Source organism: Homo sapiens, chromosome 11 (genome assembly GCF_000001405.40).
Source record: "Homo sapiens chromosome 11, GRCh38.p14 Primary Assembly".
NCBI classification, from domain to species: domain Eukaryota; kingdom Metazoa; phylum Chordata; class Mammalia; order Primates; family Hominidae; genus Homo; species Homo sapiens.
Genome location: NC_000011.10, coordinates 70,266,827 through 70,291,302, shown reverse-complemented (window position 1 = coordinate 70,291,302; position 24,476 = coordinate 70,266,827). Strand labels below are relative to the sequence as shown.

Genomic DNA, 24,476 nt, shown 5'->3' with positions numbered 1-24,476 from the left:
TAAGGGTATGTAGGATACCATGACCTCGGCTGTCATTCATGTTTCCCCCACAAATTATTTTTAAGGTGGAAGAGACTGCACTAGCTTCCTCACAGCACCTTAAGATTTCAAGAGATCGGCTGGGCGTGGTGGCTCACGCCTGTAATCCCAGCACTTTGGGAGGCCGGGAGCTGGTGGATAACCTGAGGTCGGGAGTTCAAGACCAGGCTGACCAACAAGGAGAAACCCCGTCTCTACTAAAAATACAAAATTAGCCAGGCGTGGTGGCATATGCCTGTAATCCCAGCTACTCGGGAGGCTGAAGCAGGAGAGCCATTTGAACCTGGTAGGCAGAGGTTGCAGTAAGCCAAGATTGTGCCACTACATTCCAGCCTGGGCAACAAGAGTGAAACTGTCTCAAAAAAAAGAGATTTCAAGAGATCAATCGCTCAGAAACACTGATTCATCTCAAGTAGAACTTTAACTTTTCTATATGATTCAACAACTTCAGCATGTCACTACTTGAAATCAATTTTTATATTAGTACTGGCAAAGGTTTAAAACTACATAGGCAGGAGGAATAATTGGCCCTTTGCAAAGCAGAAAAACTTGGAAATGTACAATATGCTTCAAGCTCCCAAATTTTCAGAGTAAAATGAAATTTCCTCCTCCGAATAAGAATGAGACTCTGTGAAAAGAGTATGAACTCCATGGTTGGACCTCCCCTGCCAAGAGAACCTCAATCCAAGTCTACAGGATTCAGCCAAGCCCTTACTTTTAGCTACAGGGGAAAAAAATCCACAAAGTGGAAACATTTTGTCCACATCTCTAAATTAGCATTAGCAGGCGCCAACAAAGCCTTAGCTATGCTTCATTTCTGAGAGTGAAAGAAGGCACTGTCACTAATTGCTCCAGGATAACAGGCAAAAACCGGGACTATTCCATGCAAACCAGACACGTCCTCACCCCACCTATCGGAGGTGGGTGCGACAGGGCTAGGTGCAAGACTTCTGAGTTTACATTTTTACAAAGTTCTGGTCTTTTGAACCATGTAAATGTTTTGTGTGTTTGAAAAATAATAAACTTTTTTTTTTTACACAAGGTTTTGCTCTATCACCCAGGCTGGAGTGCAGTGGTATGATCTTGGATCACTGCAACCTCCATCTCTCAGGCCCAAGCGATTCTCGTGCCTCAGCCTCCTGAGTAGCTGGGACTACAGATGTGCACCACCAAGCCTGGCTAATTTTTTTTATTTTTTGTAGAGATGGGGTTTCACCATGTTGCCCAGGCTGCTCTTGAACACCTGGGCTCAAGTGATGCACCTGCCTCAGCCTCCCGAAGTGTGGGATTACAAGTGTGAGCCACTGCACCTGGCTGAAAAATAATAAACTTTTTAAAAAAATGTGTTTTTGAGAGACAGGGTCTTGCTATGTTAACCAGGCTGGCCTCCAACTCCTGGTCTCAAGCGATCCTCCCACCTCAGCCTCTCAAGTAGCTTGGACTGCAGGTGTGTGCCACCACACCTGGTTTGAAAAAGAATAAACTTGGCTGGGCACAGTGAGCCACGCCTGTAATGCCAACACTTAAAAAGCTGGGGCGTGGTGGCGCATGCCTGTAGTCCCAGCTACTTAAAAAGTTTATAAAATGCAAACTCTGAATTAAGAATAAATAGGAACAAATGAACCTGTTTATCAAATTGGTAATTACTTTGGTTATGTTACAACAAATTGTTTTAAACCCATTACTCTAACTATATATTCTTAAGATGTATTTATTTCTAAAGCCAAAAGAATTGCTAAGGAATCCTAAACTTCATTCGAAGGGTTGTTTGTAAGAACAATGTATTAAAATGCTGAACCCATTTTATGAATATCATAGATAAGGAAAACAATGTTAATATTATTAGAAATCAAAATCATCAGTTTAAGCTGTGTAAATATAAAATAAGGGGAAAAAACTTTTATTTTAAAGAATCAGTATGAAATTGGAGGTTTTTTAATGAACATTTTTTTCTAGCTCTGTCCAATGAAAGGACATAAAAGATGCTACCTTCAGCCAGGCACAGGGGCTCATGCCTGCAATCCCAGCACTTTGGGAGGCCAAGACAGGTGGAGTTCTGAGGTCAGGAGTTCAAAACCAGTCTGGCCAACATGGTGAAACCCCATCAATACTAAAAATACAAAAAAAAATTAGCCAAGCATGGTGGTGTGGGCCTGTAATCCCAGCTACTTGGGAGAGTGAGGCAGGAGAATTGCTTGAACCCGGGAGGCGGAGCTTGCAGTGAGCTGAGATGGCGCCATTGCACCCCAGCCTGGGCGACAGAGCAAGACTCCGTCCCCAAAAAAAAAAAAAAAAACAACCAGATGCTACCCCCGTGACAGTGGCCACACCCAGCCCCAAATGCTGATTTCTAAATGCCACTTCCCACTAAAGGGAACCAGGGCTCCTGAGAGGAATGATTTCAGATCTGAGGCAGGAAAAGTACAAAGTAGGCCTGGGACAAATTTCTGTGCCAGAAAGCAATGAAGCACTCAAGAACTAATGGGGTCTTGGCAAAAAGACACAGGAGCCAATCTGAAAGGGACAATATGAGCATCCAAGGAGTAATGACGACGCCTGACTCTAATATGCAGTGTCCTCAGTGACTGAGAGAGCTGGAAAGTGAACAAAGGAGAACACTCTTCTTCACACAGGAATATCTGTTCATCACTGTACACGGACGGACAGCTGGAAAAATCACCTCTTTGCAACTTCCAGGAAGAAGTGATTTGAGCAGGGAACACCATGGACACTAAAACCATGAGGTTGACGGTCTCCCAGGAACAAGTAATTGCAGAGAAAGAGTCAAAGGAGAGGTCTGCAATCACACCTCAGGCAGTGGCCCCACTTTCTATCACCAAGAAGGAGAGCTCTGGGAATTGTGAGCCTCGAAGGGATACAAAAAGCAGAGGGGAGGCCGGGCGCGGTGGCTGATGCCTGTAATCCCAGCACTTTGGGAGGCCAAGGCGGGCAGATCACAACACCAGGAGTTCAAGACCAGACTGGCCAAGATGGTGAAACCCCATCTCTACTAAAAATGCAAAAATTAGCCGGGCATGGTGGCGGCACCTGTAAGCCTAGCTACTTGGGAGGCTGAGGCAGAGAACTGCTTGAACCCAGGAGGCAGAGGTTGCAGTGAGCCAGATTGTGCCACTGCACTCCAGCCTGGGCGACAGAGCAAGACTCCGTCTCAAAAAAGAAAAAAAAAAAAAAAAGCAGAGGTGAGATGAGGCATGGCTGGAGAGCAAGTGAGAGATGTTGAGCCCCAGCGCAGTGGGACCTATACACACTTAGACTTTAACTCTTATAAACGCCTGAATTTAAAAATCTAACCATACAAGTTGTTAGGGCCAACATCATTATGTAATCCCAGCACTCTGGGAGGCCAAGTAGGAGGATCACTTGAGCCCAGGAGTTCAAGACCAGCCTGGGGCACATAGGGAGACCTCATCTTTACAAAAATAAAACAAAAAATTAGCCAGGTGTGGCGGTACATGCACGTGGTCCCAGCTGCTCAACAGGCTGAAGTGGGAGGACTGCCTGAGCTAGGGAGGCTGAGAATACGGTGAGCTGTGATTGTGTCACTGCGCTCCAGCCTAGGAAACAGAGTGAAACCCCATCTCTAAAAACAAATTTTTTAAAAAACAAAAAAAAAAGGCCGGGTGTAGTGGCTGATGCCTGTAATCTCAACACTTTGGGAGGCTGAGGCAGGAGGATTACTTGAGACCAGGATTGGAGACCAGCCTGGGTAACATAAAGACTCCTGTATCTACTAAAAAAAAAAAAACTTAGCTGAAGTCAAACCACTGCATCAGAATATGGGCATTTTTGAGAATCAGTATACACAGGGCAAAACCGGATCGCTGAAAGAGCTGCACCAAATTACTTGGTTGTAGCTAGAATGAAGTTGGCAAGTAGAAGATAAGAAAGGCCTAATCTCAGACAACGGCTTATTTACAAAGTTGTACAAAAAAAAGGAGTCTGCAAGTGAGGAACTATCCACAACTGGGAGAGCAGGGAGGCGCTGGGCCAGGATGTGATGACACAGGAGTCTTCAGCCCGAGGAGGAATGGAGAGCTCAAGTGTTCTGAGCAAAGGAAAGGCAGCTGTACATGCATTTTAGAAAGATCTTGGCCCGGCGTGGTGGCTCACGCCTGTAATCCCAGCACTCTGGGAGGCTGAGGTGGGCGAATCACTTGAGCTCAAGAGTTCGAGACCAGCCTAGACAACATAGCAAGACCCCTGCTCTACAAAATAATAATAATTACATATATGTATGTGTGTGTGTGTGTGTGTGTGTATGTGCATATATGTGTATATGTATATATATAGTATATGTGTATATATATGTGTATATATATGTGTGTATACACACACAGAAAAAACATTAGCCAACCATAGTGGCGCACACCTGTAGTCCCAGCTTCTTAGAAGGCTGAGGTAGGAGCATTGCTTGAGCCCGATCACACCACTGCACTCCACCTGGGTGATAAAGTGAGACCCTGTCTCAAAAAAAAAAAAAAAAAAAAAGAAAGAAAGAAAGATCTTGCTGCAAAAAGGGATAAGATACTGCAGAGAGGCTCCAGAACAGGGGCCATGGGAGTCAACCCGGTGAAGACAAAGGGTTCGGGTCTGAGAGTCAGTGGGCCTCAGGGGTAACCTCCAAGAGATGGAAAGGTCCATCCCACAGGTCCTGGAGACTAGAAGGATAAGGTTAGCGCAGAAAAGAGATAGGGCCGGGAGCAGTGGCTCACGCCTGTAATCCCAGCACTTTGGGAGGCCAAGAAGGGCAGATCATCAGAGGTCAGGAGTTCAAGACCAGCCTGGCCAACATGGTGAAACCCCGTCTCTACAAAAATACAAAAATTAGCAGGGCGCGGTGGCATGTGCCTGTAGTCCCAGCTACTTGGGACGCTGAGGGAGGAGAATCGCTTGAACCCGGGAGGCAGAGATTGCAGCGAGCTGAGATTGTGCCCTTGTACTCCAGCCTGGGCAACAGGACGAGACTCCATCTCAAAAGAAAAGAAGAGACATAGCCACCTGACTACGTAGAAAACTACCGTTCACAGGATGGGGTACGGATGCGGGGGAAAGATGGTTTGAGCCAATATTGAATTTAAGGAGCCCAAAGCCTGCCCAAATGAAAGTACACAGCATGGCAGTCAGGTAAGGCACCTGCGAGGCACAGTGGCCAAGAGTGGAGGAGTACAGTGGGCAGCTGAAACTCCCAAGGAAAACCACCTCCCTAGTTCTGCCTACACAAACATCAACGAAAAGTGGAAAGTGCTCCCACATTACATCATCCATGCATTTAACTTGCTCAAACCGAACTATGTAAGTTTGGTTTTTTCCATTTCTCTTCATACAACGAAAAAAATGTGGGCTAAATAACCCTTTTTACCTATGGAATATTCAGCACCTAGAACGGTGCATGCCACATACAGACACTCAAAATACCTGAATACATTCATGTATACACTATATACATAAACATTATGTATACTGCATGAAAACAGTATGCATTTATGTATATGATAATTAAAAAGTACACATTGTTCTGTGCCTTATGTGATGGGTGATGTTAAGAGGTTTTTTTTTTTTTTTTGAGACAGAGTCTCACTCTGTCCCCCAGGCTGGAGTGCAGTGGTGCGATCACAGCTCATTGCAACCTCCACCTCCCAGGTTCAAGCGATTCTCCTGCCTCAGACTCCCGAGTAGCTGGGATTACAGCTGCGCACCACCACGCCCAGCTAATTTTTGTATTTTTAGTAGAGACAGGGTTTCACCATGTTGGCCAGGCTGGTCTCGAACTCCTGACCTCGTGATCTGCCCATCTCGGCCTCCCATTACAGGCATGAGCCACCGCACCCGGCAAGAGTTTTTAATTTTTGCTCACAGCACTAACTTTATAGCCCAAACCCATGCACTTGAAGTGGCTCTACTCTAACCAGTGGTTTCCACCCTAGGTCCATTCTTCCCTCCATCCCCAGCTCATTATCCACATAGCATGATCTTTTAAAAACTTGGGAGGCCAAGGAGGGAGGATCACCTGAGGTCAGGAGTTCAAGACCAGCCTGGGCAACGTGGTGAAACTCCCGTCTCTACTAAAGATTAGCCGGGCACGGTGGCGGGCGCCTGTAATCCCAGCTACTTGGGAGGCTGAGGCAGGAGAATCGCTTGAACCTGTGAGGCAGAGGTTGCAGTGAGCCGAGATCATGCCAGTGCACTACAGCTTGGGCAACAGTGTAAGACTCCATCTTAAATAAAGAAATACATAAATAAATAAAAATAAATAAATAACAACGCAGCTAAATCACATCATTCCCTCCCCTGAGGCCACGATGCACGCAAAGTACTGAAGCCCTAAGGTACTTAAAACAAAAACAAGCAAGTCTTCACCTCTGTCTGATCCCATCCCAACCTACCTAGCCAACCTTACCATGTTCACTCTTCCCTTCCCTCCAGGCCAAGTAACCATGGCCACAGACCCCAGCTTTGACTCAGCTAAATGCTAAGCTCTCCCTTGCTCTGGCCTTTGCTCAAGTAGCCCCACCGCCAAGAAAGCTCTCATACCTGGTTCCTCTTAGCCTTCATCCCTCAGCTCTAAGCCAATCCCCTCGAAAGCCTCACCTTTCTGGACCACAGTGTGCCTGGCAGCCCACCCCACTCAGTCGAGATCATGGATTTCTTCTGAACCACTTCATTCTATCTGGATGTGTCTCGCAACCTGCACCTGCTTTGAGCATGGGTATATTGTGAAAGTCTTCTGCAGGCAGAGACCCTGTCTCTACCACTGACTGCAGGAGCCTAGAACGGTAATATTCACACAGGGCTCAACAAAATAGGAGGAAGGACTCTGTCTCCTTGCTGACAATTAAAGGTGTAGGAACAGGAAGACAAGATGGCAAATTCAGTGTGTGCAAAAGAGAGATGTAAATGGCCAAATATTATTCTGAAAGGATATATTCAACTATTTCATACACCAAAGACGATGAAAACAAGTATGGTATTTTAAGAGGTGTTTTGCCAACTACTACTAAGAAACAGTCAGTAAAGCAGATGAGGGGGCACCATCTGAAGGGGCAGTCATTAGTATTTATTCTCAGGGAAGAGTCATTTAGCTAGTTTTACCTTATTCCAATTCTTCCTAATTTGTTCACTAAAGTTAAGCTTAGCAAGTACCTTGTTTGCAGCACTCAACAAATTACAGTTGTAGCCAATTTTGCATCATATTAGGTTGAAGCAAAAATAATTGCGGTTTTTGCCATTAAAAGTAAAGCAAAATCCGCAAGTACTTTTGCACCAACCTAACAGCAATACTTGAGAAAAGCTTCTGATTCTTTATACCTAAACCTGGACACTTCCAACATTTGGGGCCAGATAATTCTTTGTTGAGGGGGCTCCACTGCAGAATGTTTAGGAGCATCCCTGCCCTAGCTGTGACAACCACAAATACCTCTCAACACCACCAAACACCAGCGTCTCCTCTTTACTCTCCCCCACCCCCGTCCCCCTTCTCCCCGCAAGCTTGACCCTGGTATCTGCCACTCGGCTGTCATCCTCTAGTCCTACACAATTCCGCCAGGTTGTTCTTTTCTACTGCCCTCTGCCCTCGGATTCTAGCATCCTAGTTTGGGCTGTAACACTTCATGCCCACATTGCAGGAACTGCCTCCTAAATGGGCTGTCTTGCACCCTCTCGCCTCCTCAATCCATCCAGCACACCTTCCACTGCAACCAGCTGAAGCTCACCCATCACTTTGACAGGGAACACCCCTGACACAGGTAGACTTCTTTTTCACTAAGTTTGGATTTGATTTGAAGACCTCATTCCTTAGAATCTTCTGAGTTTTGTACCCCCTGCTTCAGGGATTGGCAGATTGGGAGAGAGACTGGCAAAATTTGGGACCTCACCTGCAATGAAAGGTGAACAGTCTCTCTTCTAGGTTTCACACAAAAGAGTTCTTCAAGCAAGAGGTCTTCTAAAAATCTCATTTGTTGCTTTCAAAAAGACTGTAAAAATCACTGCACTCCAGTTTAAAATAAAATCTCCATTTGAAAATGCAACTGAAACTTTAAAATGAAATTAGAGAGAAGCCCAAAGGCAATATTTGCTTTAAAAAAAAAAAAAAGCACTCGGTCAGTCGGTCAGGCATGATGGCTCATGCCTGTAATCCCAGCACTGTGGGAGGCTGAGGCGGGCAGATCACCTGAGGTCAGAAGTTCAAGACTAGCCTGACCAACATGGTGAAACCCCGTCTCTACTAAAAATACAAAAATCAGCCGGGCATGGTGATGCACGCCTATGGTCCCAGCTACTCAGGAGGCTGAGGCAAGAGAATCGCTTGAACCTGGGACATGGAGGTTGCAGTGAGCTGAGATCGCACCATTGCACTCCAGCCTGGGCGACAAGAGCAAAATTCCTTCTTAAAAAAAAAAAAAAAAAAAAAAAGCCAGGCACGGTGGCTCACGCCTGTAATCCCAGCACTTTGGGAGGCCAAGGCATGCAGTGGATCATGAGGTCAGGAGATCGCGACCATTCTGGCTAACATGGTGAAACCCTGTCTCTACTAAAAATACAAAACAAAAACTAGCTGGATGTAGTGGCGGGCACCTGTAGTCCCAGCTACTGGGGAGGCTGAGGCAGAAGAATGGTGTGAACCCAGGGGGTGGAGCTTGCAGTGAGCCGAGATCACGCCACTGCACTCCAGCCTGGGTGACAGAGCAAGACTCCATCTCAAAAAAAAAAAAAAAAAAAAAAAAAAAATCAGCACTCAAAAAGGAAACATACATGGGATCAAGTCATAGAATAAACATTAGGTAGCTGGGCACACTGGTTCATGCCTGTAGTGGTAGCTACTCAGGAAGCCAAGGCAGAAGGATGGCTTGAGCCCTGGAGTTGGAGATCAGCCTAGGCAACACAGCAAGACCCCATCTCCAAAGTAAGACTAAACACCACGCACACAACCTCTCCTACCTCCCTAGCCTCCTTCTTTGCCACTGCCAGATATGTCATCACAAACCCTCCCTCGGTCTGACACAGGGCATGGGGAAGAGTAGAGACTACAGCAGGGTGGAACAGCCCACACAGTGGCCAAGACGGGAATTGGAGGCCAAGGGCTGTGTCTCCCGCTGGGCAGGCCACTTGCTCTACTGTCTTTAAGTGGTTAAGTGACTGGGCAGGGGCAAATGGGGGATTCTGATTAGAAACTGGACAATGTCATGAGAAGCAGACTGGAAAAAAAAAAAAGAAACTGGACAAGGTAGCCTAAGCGAGGTGAGTGGGTTCTGTATGCTCCCTATCAAGTAATGATAACCAATGTCTCCAGACTCCGCATATGCTGCAGACAGAGAGAGCACGCCCGCTTCAGCTCCAGTTTCAGTGATACGCGGGGTGGCCTGTAGCCCGGCAACCCACCAAAAACTAGAAAAGGTGAGTATGACTTGAAAGTCTGCAGGCATCAAAGAGATGCCAAGGCAGCCACAAATGAAGGGACCAACATTCCAAACCAAAGAGAGGCCCACTGAGGTGAGTCCACTATTCAGAGCCCCCACTCTTTCTGTCAGTGCATTTGACAATTTGGAAGGATTTGGGGGCAGTACACTGATAACTGGGAAGAAAACTCAGCAGAAAGTAGAGGCTACAGAGCTCTAGAAAGCCCCAAGGGTCTGGGGAGACAAAAAGAAGTACAGGCCTGACAGTCAGCCAGGACTTAAGGGGCCAAGATCCCAGAGAAAAGGGAGACACAGGAAATGAGCCCAACACTCTGCAAACCTGGCCGAGAAGCTGGGCTTTCAGTAGTCTCATGGCGTTAAGGAGACAAAACTTGGGCTCCAGGACACGCCAAGAAAGAGGGGCCCTGGGAAACACTCCAGGGTTTCAGATGGAACCCCCGGATGGTTACACCAGGAGCAGGAGGTTGGGGGAAGGCAGCTTCAACTGACGCTTACTGACTGAATCCCAGCCTCTGGTCACCCAGGCCCTGACTGAGCTGAGATGATCTGTCCCTACTCTGGGCATGTGCCAGATGACAGAGGGAAACTTTCTGAAGGAAGACAGCATCACCCAGCGCTTTCTACAGTTTTTCATACATAATGTCTGACTCAATTAAAAAAACAAAAATGGGCGTTATCAACAAATGAACCTAGAGAAAAAAGAAAAACAGAAATGGATCCGGAGGTGACCCATATAATAGAGTTATCAGATGCAAATGTCAACTATTCAAAAATATACTTGACAAAAGGAAAAAATTTCACTAGAGAACTAGAATAGTAAAAGGAATTAAGCAGACTCTAGAACTGAAAATTATAACTGAAATTAAGAACTCAATCTATGGGCTAAACAGCAGATTGGACACAAATGAAGAGGGGATGAGTGAGGTGGAAGATGGGTCAGTAAAAAAAATCTGGACTTTAGATTTTGGGCACAATAGCTCACACCTGTAATCCCAGTGCTTTGACATGTCAAGGTAGGAGGCTCACTTGAGGTCAGGAGTTTAAGAACAGCTTGGGCAAAATAGCAAGACCCTGCCTCTACAAAAAATTTAAAAATTAGCTGGGCACAGTGGCACATACCTATAGTCCCAGCTACTCAGAAGGCTGAGGCAGAAGGATTGCTTGAGCCCTGGAGTTTGAGGCTGCAGTGAACAGTGATCACGCGCGCCACTGCACTGCAGCCTCGGCAACAACAGGGTGCCTGTCTTTTTCTTTTTCCCCGAGACGGAGTTTCGCTCTTGCCACCCAGGCTGGAGTGCAATGGCGTGATCTTGGCTCACTGCAACCTCCGTCTCCCAGGTTCAAGTGAGTCTCCTGCCTCAGCCTCCCAAGTAGCTGGGATTACAGGCATGTGCCACCATGCCCGGCTATTTTTTGTATTTTTAGTAGAGACAGGGTTTCACCATGTTGGCCAGGCTGGTCTCGAACTCCTGACTTCAAGTGATTCACCCACCTTGGCCTCCCAAAGTGCTGGGATTACAGGCGTGAGCCACTGCACCCAGCCACCTGTCTCTTAAAAATTTTTATATACATATATATTTATATATATATATGTATGTACGTATATATATATACACACATATATACACACATGCTAGCTCATGCCTGTAATCCCAACACTTTCGGAGACTGAGGCAAGTGGATCACTTAAGTCCAGGAGTTTGAGACCAGTCTGTGCAACATGGCAAAACCCCACCTCCACTGAAAATACAGAAATTAGCCAGGTGTGGTGGCACGCACCTGTAGTCCCTGCTACTCAGGAGCTGAGGTGGGAGGATCGCTTGAGCCCAGAAGGCAGATGCTGCAGTGAGCTGAGACTGCACCACTACACTACAGCCTGGGCAACAGAGCGAGACCCTGTCCCAAAAATATACACACACACACATCCCCCACACACACACAGGCCGGACACGGTGGCTCACGCCTGTAGTCCCAACAGTTTAGGAGGCCAAGGCAGGAAGACTGCTTGAGCCCAAGAGTTCAAGACCACCCTGGGCAACAGAGAGACCCAGTCTCTAAAAACTAAATACACACACACACACACACACACACACACACACACACACACCTAGACACATACACAGAAAAGGTCTAGAAAATACGGAAAGGAGCACAAGAGACACATAGGACATGATAAAAGCCTAATGTATATCACACCATTGCACTCCAACTTGGGCAACAATAGCGAAACTCCATCTCAAAAAAAAAAAAAATGCCTAATGTACACAAAAATGGAGGCCCTCTGAGTGAAGATGAGTGGAAAATAGGAATATTTATAGAGAGAAGAGCCAAAACTTCCAAAATTGATTAGGAACCAGGCCACCAATACAACAAATACCAAGTTTTGCTAATGCCTGAAGCAAAGAAAATGTTACAAGCCACCAGAGGCAGCTTCAAATCCTGGTGTGAGGAATGAGTAGATGGTGAGATCTTGCTGTGTGTCTGATTAGTCCTTTCTCTGCCTTGCCTGTTTGAGCTTCAGCAGAATTGAAAATGGCTGGCAGTAAGGCTGGGAAGGACTCCAGAAAGGCCAACAAAGGCAGCTTCCCACTCACAAGAGAGCCAATTTGCAGTTCCTGGTGGGCCGTATTCACTGACACCTGAAATCTAGGACAATCAGTCCTGGACGTGTGGGCGCGACTGCCGCTGTGAATAGCACAGCCATCCTGGAGTACCTCACCGCAGAGGTACTTGAACTGGCAAGAAATGCGTCAAAAGACTTCACAGTAAAGCATACTACCCCTCATTACTTGCAACTTGCCATTCGTGGAGATAAAGAATTGGGCTCTCTCTTCAAGTCTACAATTGCTGGTAAAGGTGTCATTCCACACATCCACAAATCTCTAATTGGGAAGAAAGGACAACAGCAGACTGTCTAAAGGCTGCCTGGATTCCTTATTATCTCAGGACCCTAAACACTCTACCAGCTGTCCAGTGTGGCTGATTCCAGTGAACTATATCTCTGTGAAAAACACAATTCTGCCTTTCTGTAATTCTACTTGAGCAAGTTGGAAGTTTAATTAGCTTTCCAACCAACAAATTTCTACATTCAAGTCTTAACCATATTTGTTACTGTGGCTTCAAAGAAGCTATTGATTCTGAAGTAGTGGGTTTTGATTGAGTTGACTGTTTTCAAAAAACTGTTTGGATTTTAATTGTGATGGAGAGTTATAGTAACAAACATTTGGTTTTGCACAAACATTATTTCCACTCTGGTGGATAAACTCAGTAAAAGTCATATCCTCTCCAAAAAATAAAAATAAAAAGCAACCAGAGGGGAAAATAAAAAGAAGTATTACTTCAAATGGGACAACAATAACACCAAAAGCTGACTTGTCAAGAAAAAGGAAGCGAGCTAAAAAAACAATGAATTCGCTGCTACAAAATGGTGCAAGGAAATGACCACGATCCCAGTATTCTATACCCAGCAAAATCATCCTTCAAAACTGAAGGCAAATTGGGCACAGTGGCTCACACCTGTAATCCCAGCAGTTTGGGAGGCTGAGGCAGGCAGCTGCTTGAGCCAATGAGTTTGACCCCAGCCTGGCAAACATGGTGAAACATCACATTTAAAAAAAAAAAGGCCAGGCATGGTGGCTCACGCCTGTAATCCCAGCACTTTGGGAGGCTGACGAGGGCAGATCACCAGGTCAACAGATAGAGACCATCCTGGCCAACATGGTGAAACACCTTCTCTACTAAAAATACAAAAATTAGCTGGGCGTGGTGGCACGTGCTTGTAGTTCCAGCTACTCGGGCGGCTGAGGCAGGAGAATTGCTTGAACCCGGGAGGCGGTGGTTGCAGTGAGCCAAGATCACATCACTGCACTCCAGACCGGCGACAGAGCGAGACTCCATCTTAAAAAACAAAACAAAACAAAACAAAACAAAAACTAAAGGCAAAATAGAAAATTTTCAGGCAAACAAAAATGACAATTCATTATCCACAGATATGAACTCAAAGAAATACCGTAGAAAGTTCTTCAGGGAAAAGAAATATAGGCTGGGCGCAGTGGCTCACATCTGTAATCCCAGCACTTTGGAGGCTGAAGCAGGCAGATCACTTGAGGTCAGGAGCTTGAGACCAGCCTGGCCAACATGGTGAAACCCAGTCTCTACTAAAAATACAACAATTAGCCGGATGTGGTGGCATATGCCTATAGTCCCAGCTACTCAGAAGGCTGAGGCAAGAAAATCGCTCAAACATGGGAGATGGAGGTTGCAGTGCGCCAAGATCGTGCCACTGCACTTCAGCCTGGGCAACAGAGCGAGACTCTGTCTCAAAAAAGAAAAAAAGAAAAAAAAAAAACAAGAAATATAATCCCCGGCAGAAACATGAAACAACAATAAAGAATGAAGAGCAACAAAAATGGTAACTAAGAGGATAAATCTAAATAAACATTAACTGTACAAAATAATTATGATACTGCAAAAGTATATCTAAAATTAAAGTACATAAACTTGTAAGATGCAGCTAAAAGCGTGTAGTGGCTCACGCCTGGATCCCATTGTTTTGGGAGGCTAAGGGGGGAGGATCACCTGAGGCCAGGAGTTGAAGACCAGCTGGGGCAATACAGCAAGACGCTGTCTCTATTTTTAAAAATAAATATAAATTAAACTGAAATATATAAAACAATGACACAAAAGGTAGGAGGGAGTTAAATCCAGTTCAAGTATCTAAGGACTTGACCCTGGGAGACACAATGAGACTGTGCCTGGAAAAAAAAAAATATATATATATATATATATATATCTCAATCAAACAAAAAAAAAGCAAAAAAAAAAAAGTAGAAATTAATGCAATAGAAAACAAATGTAAGTAGAAAAAAATGTAAAGCCGAAAGTTGGTCCCTTAAAAGAACTTACAAAATTGACAAACCCCCAACAAGACTGATTAAGAGATAATATATGAATTACTGATATCAAGAATTATTAAAAGGGAACATCACTACAGATCTTGCAGATAATAAGGATTACAAACCACTTTAAACTTACAAATTGGAAAGTCTGGGTGGCCTGAACAAATCTCTAGCGGGGAAAAATGCTTTATCTAAATAGACACATGAAGAAATATTCAAAATCCTACATCTACCTATAAAATTAATTCTAAAATTTTTCCTTCTCACAAGGAAAACCCTGTACCAGCTGGTTTTGCCAAAGAATTATTTCAAACATTTAAGGAAGAAAACACAAATTTCGTAGGAACTCTTCTAGGGAGTAGAAAAAGAAGGAATACATTCCACCTTGTTTTAAGAAACCAGCATAACCTTGATACCAAATCCCAACAAGGGTACTGAAGGAAACTGAAATTATAAGTCAATCTTTCTCGTGAATATAAATGCAATAATCCTAAACAAAATACTACCAAATATAATCCAGTAAAAGGAGAATACATCAAGATCAGGTTGGAATTATTCTACAATTGTAAATTTTTTTTAAAAGGGAGGTGCTCTTTCTCAGGAGCTCCTGAAGTTGCTTCCCCAGGCTACAAACAATATGCAATTAAAAAAAAAAAAAAAAGCAAGGCGCAGTGGCGTGCGTCTATAATTCCAACTACTTGAGAGGCTGAGGTGGGAAGATCACTTTAGCCCAGGAGTTCAAGGCTACAGCGAGCTATGATGGTGCCACTGCACTCCGGGCTGGGTAATGGAGCAAGACCCCATCTCAAAAATAAACAAACAAAAACAGTTAAATTCCCACATAACAGAAAAATCACATGACTGTCTCAAAAGATGCAGAAAATCCATGTTAAGAAATTTAATACCTGCTCATGGTTTTTAAAAAACTCTTGGCAAACTAAGAAGAGGAGAATTTTTACATTTTGATAAAGAATATCTACAGGGCCAGGTGTGGTGGCTCACAGTGGTAATCCCAGCACTTTGGGAGACCAAGGTGAGAGGATCGCTTGACACCAGGAGTTGGAGACTAGTCTGGGCAACCGAGTGAGTACCCTTTTCTTAAATTACCAGATCTCAAGACAGACTATATCTATGGGAATTTAGACATTGTGCTATTTGTGCAAAGATGACAAAAAGATCAAAGGAGCAGAAGAGAGTCCAGAAACAGACCCACACACTTACAGTCACTGGACTGAGATGACACTGCATGTAGTACACTGGGGAAAGAATAGTCTTTTAAGAAATTATGCAAGGTCAACTAGATATCCATTTAAAAAAAGAAAGAGAGACTCTTGGCCCCATCGCATACCATAAACAAAGTCAATTTCAGATGGAAGATTAAAAAATAGTTTTTAGAAGACAATGTAGAATATCTCATGAACTTGACCAAGCAAATTTCTTAAACAGGACACAAAGAGCATTAAACATTACTGAAAAGATGGATCAACTGGGCTACATTAAAAATTTTACACTTCTATGTATCAAAAGATACAACTGAGAGAGTGAAAAGGCAAACACAAGAGTCTAAAAACAATCTGTCATGCACATATGTACTCAGAATATAGAGAAAACTCCTTCAAATCAGTAAAAAACAAAACAGACAACCCAATCAACAGATGGGCAAAAGATAACCGTTTCACAAAAGACATCCAGGTGGCCAGTGAACACAGGTAGAGATGCTTTACCTCTGCATGTTCCTGGCCATCAGGGAGCAGCAAATTCAGACCATACTGAGCCACCTACCAGCTAACAGCCACCAGAACAGCTAAAATGTAAAGACCCAACAATACCAAGTGCTGAAGAGCATAGGAGCAACTGACTTCTCATACATTGCTGGGGTAGTACAAACTGTCACAACCACCACTTTTGGCACTCTCTACTGAGGCTGAACAAATGCACACACCATCATTTGCATTCCACTTCTTTGTAGAAATCCAACAGAAGTGTACACATATCCTCCGGCCTGGGCAACATGGTAAAACCCCACCTCTACAAAAAATACAAAAATTAGCGGAGGGTGGTGATGCGTGCCTGTATTCCCAGCTACTTGGGAGGCTGAGGCAGGAGAATCGCTTCAACCTGGGAGGTGGAGGCTACAGTGAGCCGAGATCATGCCACTGCACTCCAGCCTGGGCAACAGAGTGAGACCCTATCTCAAAAAAAAAAAAGTTTATAGACATCTGCACCAAAAAACAAACAATATTAGGGGAGCACGTGTAAAAACTGGAAACAACCCCAAATGTCTGTGAGCAGTAGAAAGAATAAGTTCTGTCTGTTCGTGCACGGGATGACCAGAGAGCAGGTGAGAATGAGCAAGCTGCATCTCACAAACATGATGCTGACGACAGAATGAAGAAGCAAAACATACAGATTATTTTACTTCACTTAAACAAAGTCAAGAACAGGCAAAAGTAATCAATGGTGAAAGGTCAAGACCTTGGTTAGCTCTGGGGGACAACTACTGGGAATAGTTAGGAGGGGACTTCTAGGAAGCCTGATAATGTTCCATTTCTTGATCTGGGTGGTGGTATGCAAGTGTGTTAACTTTGTGAAAAGTCCACTGAGATGTATACTTACGATTTGTGAATTTTTCTGCTGTATGCTATAGTTATGTATATTTTTAAGTACACTCTAACTTGCCTCCACAATGTGCCAGGAGCACAAATGCACTTCCTGGACTCATTATCTGGTCACACTACCAGCCACCAAAGATGAACCAGATGCCAGGAAAGGGAAGGGTCCAAAACAAGTTTACTTAATAGTTTCCATTTTTGAAAGGCTGGAATCAGGTGCTCAGGTGGTAACGTGAACCGTTGGCATCATCATGTTATCCACTGAACTAGGCATTCCCAGGCTGCTACACTGAGCAGTGCCAGAAACAAATCACTGAGCAACCATGTCACCAGTGTGTGTGACAACCTCCACAGCCTGCGACTAACTGTACAAAACTCCTGTCACTTCCCTGACATGTCTTGTGTGCCCATTCTTTCCAAAACCTACCTTATTAAGTATATTAGTATTTGATATACACTTCAATACGTGTACCTTAAATTACAAATACAATAAAATCCTGGTAAAACATAAATTGGCTACTTCTTTTAAAATTGTAGTAATAAAATTCAACATAAATAAACTTGGTAATTTATAAGATTGAAATAAGAAAAATCTTAATGATTCTTTAATCCAACAAAAAAGGAACATAGAGCGCTAACGTCAAATTATTGTTGCTAAAAAGGAAACCCACGTTTGGCTTATCAATCTTTCAGGAGAACTGACTACAGCCAAGAAACACATTAAGGCTAGTACTTATTCATTTACTAATTTATCACTGCAGACCCATCATGCGAGTATAAATGTGTGCTTATGCGGGTCTACCTGAATGCACCCCAAAGGCACTTATGATGAGTAACGTGGCGCCTAGACAGCTCTGAAACACATAAATAACCCACTTCTCTCCCACTATGCCCCGTGCCACTCACCTTACACTCTTCTAGTTTTTACTTTCTCCCTTTACCTACCATTAAGTAAATCCTCATTCAACTCCATGAGCAAAGTCTTTCAAACACTGGTCCAAATGTAACATACTCAGAGAAACAATTTCAGTTGTTCTAAGCTTTAAAAATCTTTTTTTTTTTTGAGACAGGCTGGAGAGCAGTGGTGCAATCTTGGCTCACTGCAACCTCCACCTCCCGGGTTCAAGTGATTCTCATGCCTCAGCCTCTGAGTAGCTGGGACTACAGATGCGCGCTACCACGCTCTGCTAATTTTTGTATTTTTGGTAGAGACAGGGTTTTGCCATGTTGGCCAGGCTGGTCTCAAACTCCTGACCTCAGGTGATCCGCCTGCCTCAGCCTCCCAGAGTGCTGGGATTACAGGCATGAGCCACCACACCCGGCCTAAGCTTTAAAATTCTCATCTGCCAAGGAAAAAGTTCCTAAGGAATCAATCTCGAGTCTTCTATCCCCTAAAACAAATGTGACTTACAAAACCTAGATGTTCTGATAAAGGTGGGCTATCAAAATAATTTTTTTTTTCCGTGAAATCAATCCTATTTGTCTATTAAATTACATTAGGAAATTAGAAATACATGAGATAATCCATGGGAAGTACAAGTTTAGCCAGAAAAGGCTTAAGACAACAGAATGGAGGCACCAAATAGATTGGTTGCTTCAGAGCCCTTTTTCAAAAACTCTGGAGAACTTCCTGAACCTAGGCAGTTCCCAAAGATAGGAATGAAAATAATGAGGTATTTTCACATGACTTTAGAGTACAACGATTTGTTCTCCCTAAGAAGTTTAATCCCTAGGAACTTTGTATTTGACTTACAAACACCAGAAACTATCATTTCACAAATCGTTACGGAAAATACTCATCTGAAACATTAACAAAAGATGACACTAATAAAAAAACATTTAGTGGAGAAAAATCTATAGTTTCAGGTTAAAAGCACTCATACCTGTGGAAGTGCCGTGTTGAGCTGTCTCTGCAAGGAATCTCTTTCATGACCAACCTCGTGTAACTTCCCCTGGGTTAAGGCCAGCGTTTCTTGAGTCTCTCTCAGTGTATCAAGAAGGCGGTCCCTTTCTTCTAGCATGGAGACCATCAACTGTTCAAAATGTGAATCTGCATCTGGCTGTGAAGGGGAGCCGGAACCATGGCCTCCACCTCCTCCAGGGGGGCCTTCTGCTTCGCTGATGGTCGGCATCACCTCGCACATCATCTTGAAATGAAAGACCCAGGCTACAGTAATTAAGCTCAGAATACAGGTTCCCACAAATATGCAACTTTACAGGTATCTGTAGCTAAAAAGATGGGCAGTCTCATTATGCTCAGATCTGTTATGCTTTGTGTGTAAATAAGCTGGGAAAACATACACAGGGCAAATATTAAGTGCAAAAATACACAACATGAAGACATTAACACAGACAAAAATCCAGGGAAGGGGTCAAGATCCCAAAGGACTACCCTCACAAAAAAGGGCAAGCCCTGGGGTAGTCTGTTTGCAAAGCTGTACTTGTTTTTGCTGAAAACAAGTGTGCTTCTGTTACCTATTTTTTTTACTTCCCAGTGGGGTGGGGAGGGTGGGGGGGTAGGGGGGGAGAAAGTCAAAACACATGTCACCCAATCATTTTTCAGGAAAAGCACAGAAGGAGCATACAACCAGCAAAACTGACAAGTACAAAATCCATCAGGCATCTTGCAGGAATGTGTGCAGTCAGCTCCCGGGAAGAACTGACGGCTCCCTGAATTCTTGGGCTGGATTTGGTGAGCACTAAAAGGAACCGGATTCGTTAAACGCTGGTAGAAGTGTTTTCCAATGGCTGCAACGGTTGGTCAACCTAACTTACGTAAGTTTACAACCGAAAAAAAAAATCCACAATGGAAATATAGCAGGTCGATACAGCCGGGGGCGGCTAGGAAAGAGGGAAAAGTGAAAGGTGAGATTACGAGAGTCTATTAAGTGTCTGGGATATAAAGACAGCGCCAGGGAAAGGGGAAGTCGCTTCTGAGCCTTTCGGGCAGTACTGGGGGCGCGGTGGACCCCTGAGAGGGGGATGCCCCAGACGGCGCACCTGATGGGGATGGTGACCTCCAGCCTGCTCGAGCCGCACTCCTCCCCTCCTGTATCAGGTGCGGCGGAAGCCCCGAACCCCGGGGGGTGAGGACCGTTGACAACGGAGCCCGCTCGGGCCAGGGCTTTCAGCGGCCACAGGTCCCCGCCCCTCGCCCCAGCGCCCGGGTCACGGGGCGCGGGGCTCGGGGAGGGGCAGCGCGCAGTCCCCGGAGCCGTCCCTTGGGGCGCGGGTGTCCCGCCGGAGCTCTCCCAGCGCGACCCGGCGCCGCGGCCTCGCCCCCACCCGTCCCGGAGCGCACCCTTCCCCGCGGAGACATCTAATCGGCTGCGTGGCCGCCGCGGAGACCGGGACGCGCCGGTGACGCCTGGGCCCCGAGCCTGCCTCAGTGTCCCGCTCCCTTACCTTGCTCGCCGGCGGGAGCGGGCGAGGAGGCTCCGCGGCGGCTCGCGGGCGGCTGCTCGCTCCGGGAGAGCTTGGGAGCCGACGAAAGCAGCCCGCGGCCGGCGTCCGCCTGCCCGCCCCACGCCGCGGCCCCGGGGCCCGCCGCCCCAGTCACTAAGGCCGGCCCGCGGCCGGACACTGGCGGAGCGGAGGAGGAGCGGGCCCGGCTGCGCGGCGCCGGCGTCTACGTGCCCGACGTCGAGCGCGTCGGCGCGAGCGTCAGCACCGCCCCGGGGGCGGGGCCCGAGGAGCACCTTGGCCCGAGTACGCAAGCGCTGTCTCCTCAGGAGGGGGCGGGAGGCGGCCCCGGGGCACTGATTGGCTGAGCGAGACGGGAGCCACGCCCCCCAGGCCCCGCCCGGGTCGCGGGGGAGGGGGCGGTCTCCGGGATGAGCCACAGGTGGGCGCTCAGGTGCTCGCCGGGTCAGCGTCTTCCTCCGGGCGTCCCCAGTTTCCCCCCACGGCTGCAGGGACGCCGGAGGCCTTTGCTGAGTGTCTACCGCGCCTCGAGTTCTGAGCTGGACGCGTCCGGCACGTCAGGTCCCTCCCGAGCTGGAGGCTCTGGATTCGCACCTTGCAGAAGAGCGAACCGAGGCTTCAGTCACCACCGAGGACCCAGACCCCGCCCGCCGCGGCGCCCCTACGGTCTCCCTGGGCCTGATCTGGGTTCAGAAGGACGGAGTTCCCGCCAGGACCCACTTACGGAGCGCTGCCTGCCGCACCTGGGGACGTCCCGGCGCAGCGTCCAGAGTGCAGGCTTTGCCGCTGTGGCTTTCACTCTGCAGCGTGGGCCCGGGCGACTCGGGAAACCCGCCTGGGCTTCAGCGCCTCCGATGTAGGATGGGAAAATGATGCAGACCTACCTGCGAGGCTGCTTTAAGACATGAATCAGATGTGAAGAGCGACTAGTTGAGAGCCTGACGGGCAGCACTGCGCGAGTCTTGGTCATTTCATCTTTTCCGCAAGTTTTTTTTTTTTTCCAGACGTTGTTTCACTCTTGTCACCCAGGCTGGAGTGCAATGGCGCCATCTCGGCTCACTGCAACCTCTGCCTCCCGGGTTCAAGTGATTCTCCTGCCTCAACCTCCCGTGTAGCTGGGATTACAGGCGCACGCCACCAAGTCCAGATAATTTTGTATTTTTAGTAGAGACGGGATTTCTACATGTTGGTCGAGCTGGTCTCGAACTCCTGACCTCAGGTGGTCTGCCCGCCTCAGCCTCCCAAAGTGTTGGGATTACAGGCGTGAGCCACTGCGCCCGGCCTCAGCAAGAATTTTTAAACATCTACTATGGGCCAAGTCTTGTGCTAGATGTTGCAGATACGGAGATGAATAGAGACACCTCTAATTAATTAAAGCGGATGCCCTCCCCACTCCTCCCAGGATTTGACTCGGAGCACAAACTCTTCACAAACCAAAATGTCAGGACACCATCGCCAGTGTCCACTGGCCACTGCTGTTGGTGTGAGGCAGCCAGGAGCCCCTCAGAACTAGTAAGTCTGAGAAGAGGCTGCACGGGGCCTAGGAGAGGGAGAAATGAGCCCGTCCAAGGTGAATTCCTTGATTCTCCATTGTGAGTGCACCAAGAACAAGCACTCCCTCCGACTGACTCTCGCCTACCAGGATCTGGAACACCTTCCATTAATTTATTCGTTCATTCAATAAATATTTATTGACTGACTACACATAGATATGAATATGTACTTTTTGCCCCTAGTTTCTTGCTATTTTAAAAGTGTAAAAATGGCCAGGTGAGGCCGGGTGCGGTGGCTCAAGCCTGTAATCCCAGCACTTTGGGAGACCCAGGTGGGCAGATCACTTGAGGTCAGGAGTTCAAAACCAGCCTGGCCAACATGGTGAAACCCTATCCCTACTAAAAATACAAAAATTAGCCGGGTGTGGTGGCGGGCATCTGTAATCCCAGCTACTCAGGAGGCTGAGGTGGAAGAATAGCTTGAACCTGGGAGGTGGAGGTTGCAATGAGGAGATCATGCCACTGCGCTCCAGGCTGGGAGACAAAGCGAGGCTCTGTCTCAGAAAAAAAAAAAAAAAAAAAACATTGGCCAGGTGCAGTGGCTCACGTCTGTAATCCCAGCACGCTGGGGGGCCAACGTGGGAGGATTGCTTGAGCCTGGGCAATATATCGAGACCCATGTCTATACAAAAAATTAAAAATTAGTCCAGCAAGGTGGGCCACACCTGTAGTCCCAGGTACTTGGGGGATTGAGGTGGGAGGATCGCTTGAGCCTGAGAGGTCGAGGCTGCAGTGAGCTGTGATTGTGCCACTGCATTCCAGCCTGGGTGCCAAAGCGAGACTCTGTCTCAAAAATAATAAAATTGTAAAGTTGATCGCTTAGATGAGGTGTTCTGCAAGTACCCTGTACCTCTCCACACCCCAGCAATTCTGCACAACTCCCAAGTTCCCCTGAACCACTGTCTGAAACCAGCAAATTTCCAGCTCTCCTTAGGGGTACCTGCTTAATGCAGCCAGCTTATGTTTGCACCATGCTCATAAAGTGTCTGTTTTCTAAGAAATCGGCTCAAGGCCGGGCGCAGTGGCTCACGCCTGTAATCCCAGCACTCTGGGAGGCCGAGGTAGGCGGATCACGAGTTCAGGAGATCGAGACCATCCTGGCTAACACAGTGAAACCCTGTCTCTACTAAAAATACAAAAAATTAGCCGGGCGTGGTGGCAGGCGCCTGTAGTCCCAGCTACTCGGGAGGCTGAGGCAGGAGAATGGCGTGAACCCGGGAGACGGAGCTTGCAGCGAGCCGAGATCGCGCCACTGCACTCCAGCCTGGGCAACAAAGCGAGACTCCATCTCAAAAAAAAAAAAAAAAAGAAAAATCGGCTCAAGATCAAAATTTAGTTCGGCAGGGTAGAATGTTCATTCATTTCATGAATATTTGTGCAGCATGTATGAGCCAAGCATGGCTTAGGTCTTGGGAACGCAGAGCTAAGACATCACTTCTAGTATGAGTTCACAGTCTGGAGAAAGAGAAGAAAAACAGACTATTGCAATGTCTGTCCCGTAAACAGTGTGTGACTTGGTGCTGTGGAATCACAGGGAAGGGAGGAACCCGCTCTCCAGCTGGCATCATGGGGGCTTCATAGAGGAGGCAATATCTGAGCTGGGTCTTGAATGATGTGGGATTTTTCCAGCGGAGAAGGGAGACACCCAGTTGGTATAGCTCCAGGAAAATGAGAATTCTGAATTTCATTTTATTTCTTTCTTTTCTTTCTTTTTCCTTCCTTCCTTGCTTCCTTCCTTCCTTCCTTCCTTCCTTCCTCCCTTCCTTCCTTCCTTCCTTCCTTCCTTCCTCTCTCTCTCTCCCTCCCTCCCCTCCCCTTACCCTTCCTTTGTTCTTTTTCTCTCTCTTTTTTTTTTTTTTTTTGAGACAGGGTCTCATGTAGTCACCTAGGCTGGGATATAGTGGTTCGAACACAGTTTACTGCAGCCTCTACCTCCCAGGCCCATCAGTCATCTCACCTCAGCTCCCCAACAAGTAGCTGGGACTACCAGCGCAGACCACCATGCCTGGCTAACTTTTTTGTATTTTTGGTAGAAAAGAGGTTTCACCATGTTGCCCAGGATGGTCTCAAACTCCTGAGCCCAAGCAATCCTCCCACCTCACCCTCCCAAAGTGCTGGAATTACAGGCATGAGCCACCACTCATGGCCCTCATTCATTTTAATTCATTTATTATTTCATTCCCCCAGATCGCAAAATCAGTAAGGGGGAAATCGTAAACAACCTAAATGGCCAAGAAAACAAGATTGGTTAAATTATTGCACTTCCAAATGACAGAAAACTTGGTGACATTCACAGTCATTTTTTTTGAGACTGAATCTTGCCCCGTCGCCCAGGCTGGAGTGCAGTGGGGTGATCTCGGCTCACTGCAGCCTCCGCCTCCTGGGGTTCCAGAGATTCTCCTGCCTCAGCTTCCTGGGTAGCTGGGATTACAGGCACACCTGGCTAATTTTTGTATTTTTAGTAGAGACTGGGTTTCACCATGTTGGACAGGCTGGTTTCGAACTCCTGACCTCAGG

General features: G+C 46.6%; 1 protein-coding gene, 1 non-coding gene and 1 pseudogene across 33 annotated transcripts in view, besides 2 other annotated features; 1 reads left to right on the top strand and 2 right to left on the bottom strand.

Annotated features, from left to right (window-relative positions):
* Positions 1-20,613, bottom strand: part of PPFIA1 (PPFI scaffold protein A1) — a 113,707-nt gene extending 93,094 nt beyond the window's left edge. For 30 of the 32 annotated variants that reach the window (NR_045286.3, XM_006718716.4, XM_011545309.3 and 27 more), the window contains exons 1-2: positions 20,389-20,613; positions 18,867-19,130 (exon numbers count right to left, since the gene is read on the bottom strand). Coding sequence is in view for 31 of the 32 variants with exons in the window: in XM_006718716.4 (XP_006718779.1) it covers positions 18,867-19,130 (264 nt within the window). In the remaining variant the exon portion in view is untranslated. Of the gene's footprint in view, positions 1-18,866; positions 19,131-19,983; positions 20,125-20,388 lie in introns of those variants that run through there. The other 2 variants (XM_047427764.1, XM_011545306.4) reach the window with 2 other exon arrangements.
* MIR548K (microRNA 548k) lies at positions 7,233-7,348 on the bottom strand. The gene has a single exon (NR_031624.1). It is a non-coding gene; the product is annotated as a microRNA 548k (primary transcript).
* H2AZP4 (H2A.Z histone pseudogene 4) lies at positions 11,900-12,688 on the top strand (annotated as a pseudogene).
* Positions 20,009-20,438: a silencer, noted in NCBI's record as "silent region_3701". NCBI's record gives its function as "represses an Ori minimal core promoter by ATAC-STARR-seq in GM12878 lymphoblastoid cells {active_cell/tissue: GM12878}" and the evidence as "EXISTENCE:reporter gene assay evidence [ECO:0000049][PMID:35858748]".
* Positions 20,479-21,028: a silencer, noted in NCBI's record as "silent region_3700". NCBI's record gives its function as "represses an Ori minimal core promoter by ATAC-STARR-seq in GM12878 lymphoblastoid cells {active_cell/tissue: GM12878}" and the evidence as "EXISTENCE:reporter gene assay evidence [ECO:0000049][PMID:35858748]".